The sequence below is a fragment of the Homo sapiens genome, chromosome 9 (assembly GCF_000001405.40).
Source record: "Homo sapiens chromosome 9, GRCh38.p14 Primary Assembly".
Lineage (NCBI taxonomy): Eukaryota > Metazoa > Chordata > Mammalia > Primates > Hominidae > Homo > Homo sapiens.
Window position 1 is genome coordinate 135020246 of NC_000009.12, and position 3916 is coordinate 135024161.

At 54.5% G+C, this 3916-nt stretch overlaps 1 annotated feature.

Annotated features, from left to right (window-relative positions):
* Positions 2324-2964: an enhancer, noted in NCBI's record as "H3K27ac-H3K4me1 hESC enhancer chr9:137914415-137915055 (GRCh37/hg19 assembly coordinates)". NCBI's record gives its function as "activates a minimal SCP1, AML or CMV promoter by ChIP-STARR-seq in naive H9 embryonic stem cells {active_cell/tissue: H9 hESC(naive)}" and the evidence as "EXISTENCE:reporter gene assay evidence [ECO:0000049][PMID:30033119]".

The window sequence follows — 3916 nt, forward strand, 5'->3', positions numbered from 1 at the left end:
ATCATACAGGTGTGTCCAATGTTAAGATGAGGGTCCTTATCAGAGGGAGCTAGTGGGAGAGGTGATGCCATGTGAGGATGGACACAGAGGTTGGAGGGACGTGGCCACAAGCTAAGAAATGCCTGGAGTCCATAGAAGCTGGAGGAGGCAGGAAGGATCCTCCCCTAGAGCTTCTGGAGGGAGCACGGGCCTGTGACACCTCCCTCTTGGCCTCTGGCCTGCAGAACTGGGGGAGAATCAATCTGTGTTGTTCTGAGTCCCTCGTGGTGGGGTCGTTTGTTGCAGCAGCCGCATCGAACATGTGTGGAGAAGCCTGGACTGGACATCTTCCCTGTCCCCATGGCCCCAGGGGTCCCAGCTTCAGTCCTGGATGTCTGAGGAGATTGTCCCCAGGGCCCAGGATGTGCAGGGTCCCCGGGGCTGCCCTGGGCAGTTCTCCACCTGCTCGGATGGGTCTGCGGCTCCCGTTGGTTGATGTTTCTTCTGCTGGGCCCCGCCAACTCCTCCACTTCCTTAGGAAATGGTGACCTCAGCCAAGCCTGTTTTCTGGTGATTTCTGAGGTGTGAAAAAGAGGGTGTTATGCACACCAGAGCTGAAACTTGCTCCTAAAATAAGACCCAGGAAAGTCTTGCAGTCACTGGAACCCCGTGCAAGCGACTGCTTGTCTACTGAGCCCCAGGGTGTGCCTTGCGTCCACGGGTGTTTCAGGCAAAGCTCTGCACAGCCACTCAACTCTCTCAGTCCCAAAATGTCTCAATTTGCTAGACCGGTTCAGTGGAGAACGAGGGAGGGCACTTTGTTCTCAAGATCTACGGGCTGGGCCGGTGGCTGCCCCTCAGCCCTGTTATCCTGCAGAGGAGCCCACAGTTGCTGTAAACAGCCCCCAACTCCCCTCGGGTGAATGAGGGGTGAGCAGTTGGACACGCTGGGCGGAACAGGATGGGCTGAGCTCCAGGGCCCAGAACCTTCCAGCTTGAGGGCCGTGGGGTTGTGGTGGACAATGGCGCATGCATCAGACTTCAGGGCAAAGCACTCCAGGGCAGCCACCGGATTCAGGTCACATGCCCTCCACCCTCAAGTCTCTGGAGGTGGGTGACACTCATGCATGGTTGCCCTGGGTCAAAGGGGTTTCTATGGCCCCGAATGTCCTCCTGAAGACCCTGCCTGTTTCTTACACAGCCGTTTCTGGGTCCTCCACTCAACACCCGGTAACTGAGCAGCTGTGACACGCCAGGTCCAGCTCGGGGCTGGACACAGCTGGACTTGCATGGTCCTGGTCCCTCCTCTGCCCTATGGGCTTTGCAAGCAGCAGCTCAGAGATCAACCCCACAGTCCGCCCTGGGACTCCTGCTCCAGCCCCTGCAGGCCTCCTCTGGCCTTGGCTCAAGGCAGTAGTGGCTACAGTGCCAGGCAGGGTGACCCTCAAGCTTCGCCTGGGACACCATGGAGCAGCTGCTGGTGCTGGGCTTGGAAGAGGCTGAAATAATAATTTGCACTCCCCTTCCCGTAAGCCCCATCTGACCGGGGAAAAGGTGGTTTAATGGCTTTTTGCTGGGCCAGAATTTCCAGAAAGCTTCTTCTCGATTGGATTCTGCACTTTTATCTCTTAAGCCCCAGAGTTTTGTGAGTGTACGAAGGGATGGGGGAAAAGCTCGACTTAATTTTGCGTGGATGCCTTTTTTCCTGTATGAAGTCAGGTTTTACATGAGTTAACTCGAATACGATGATAATCAAAAGCCTTTGGTTAGAAGCCTCTTTCCTCCACAGATTTCAAAGCATTTTCATGCAGAAATACAGGGATTTCTTGGCGGATCGGACTCTCCCAGCAGGCTATCCATCATCTTTGTGCACTCAGAATAACAATCATTACAGCAATAATAATAATATCAGCTCCCATTTGTATAGCGCTTTATGGCTTACGAAGCACTTACACATCTTTCCTCTCATTGCATCCCTGCAGAAACCCCAGAGAAGGATGGGAGAGGCATTCGGGCTCATGCTGTGAAGGAGACGCGGGCAGGCCCTGGGGTAGAGATAGGCCTCAGGGTGCATCCGGAGGCCTTCAGGCCCCTCCACCAGGACTGCCTCCGCCCCACCAGTGACCCAGAGCTGATCTCAGCCCCACTCCATGCTCTGCTACCCAGGGCTTCAACACCCAACTTCTCTTGGCCTTCCTGGGTCTCCTCCCACTTCTCTGACCTTCCTCCTCGGCCTTTCTCATGAGAGCCACCCCCGACTTCCGGCAACACCCTGGAGACTGGTTGGCAGTGGGGTTGAAGGCAGGCGCCACAGTGGCCCAGGTCCCTGGGGACACCCCGTTCGAGTGGTGCCAGCCTCCAGGTCAGAGCCAAAACACCTTGGAAAGCACCTGGCCCGTTTCAGATATGGGGAAAGCAGAAAGAGACAGACCAAGAACTGCGGGTCCCTGGACTTCCCACAGCTCACGCAGCACTCCAGGGTCCAGGGTGCGCCCAGCTGAGCTCACTTGCCTGTGCCGAGGCTGTGCCCTATGACATTGTAAACCAGAGTGTTCCCCCAACTTCCCATTGGCTTACCCTGCATTTCAGGGCCCACGGTGCACCCCAGCTGCGCTCACCTGCCTGTGCTGAGGCTGTGCCCTATGACATTGTCACCCTGGGTGTTTTGGGAGGATACACAAATGGTAGGACATTGTGTGGAGAACAAAAGATATATCTCTTAATATGTGCAATGGGACCCCTGTTCTATAAACAAACAAAAACTACTCGATTGTAAAAAAGAACGGAAGGAAGCGCGTGAGCTGCTGTGAGGACCAACCCCCAGAAGCAGTGGGGAGAGGCAGAAGAGCCAGGGGGCTTGGATGTGATCTCAGCTGCACGATGGGATCGCAGACAGGCCACCTCAGCTCTCTAGGCCTGAGTCTCCTTGCCAGTAAAGTGAGGCTCAGAAGGCCCTCACTGAGAATCACTTGCTCAGTTTTTGGAAAAATTACAGGATGATTGGAAGATTACATGTGTGCCCAGCATGGTGTGTGTCTCACAGGTACACGCCCTTCATCCCCAGCAGCTACAGTAATGATCTTTGCTTGGTGAGATTACGGCCACTTACTTTCTTTTTTACACCATGTCTGTATTTTCTCAACTTTCTATCATGGCTATGTGTTATTTTCATAATCAGGAAAACAATAACCATATTGAAACCTAGCTACAGTCACCATCCACCATGGTTCTGATGGGAGGTGTCTGCGCATGCCTGCTTCCCTGCCAGAGAGAGGAATTTCATGCCACAAGACCTCAGCCCTGCAAAAGGAGCCTCCTCAGCCCCGGGGGCACTTTCTGGAAAGGAGCCTGGTCTGTGCCTCTGTCCTGCTGGCAGCAGCTTTCCGGCCTTTCTTGCTAATCAGGACCTGTGACTCATTATTGTGTTTCTGAAGAGAACACCTCACCCCTTCAGAGTGGAGCAGCCCACGTGGGGCTGTGACAGCTGCCATGGTCAACCCCACAGCTGCTCCCCATGCCCCCCACTTAATAATGGACGAGGCTGATGACAGCCTCCTTGAAATGGAAATATTGACCTACATGCTTCAAAGCAAGTGAGGAGATTGTGTTTGCCGGCATTGCATTCCCTGTCACCAGTTTTGCCTTTTTAGAGAACTGTGAAGGGTATTTGTTCCCAGAATTTCTGACAAATCTCTGCCACGTGCCACCACCTCATCTCAGCACTCACTCAGGCGATGTGCATTTCACTGATCACCTGCTGCAGGCTGCACGGGGGCGGGAGGACTGTGAGGCCAATCACACCTCCAGCCTTAGAAACCAGATCACAGGACCTGGGAAGCGGCTCCGGAGGGCCCAAGAAGGTGTTCCTAGGGGGTAATGGTGGCGTGGGATCTCCCAAAAGAGTGGCCTGGACGTTAGTGGCATTCCTGGGAGAGGA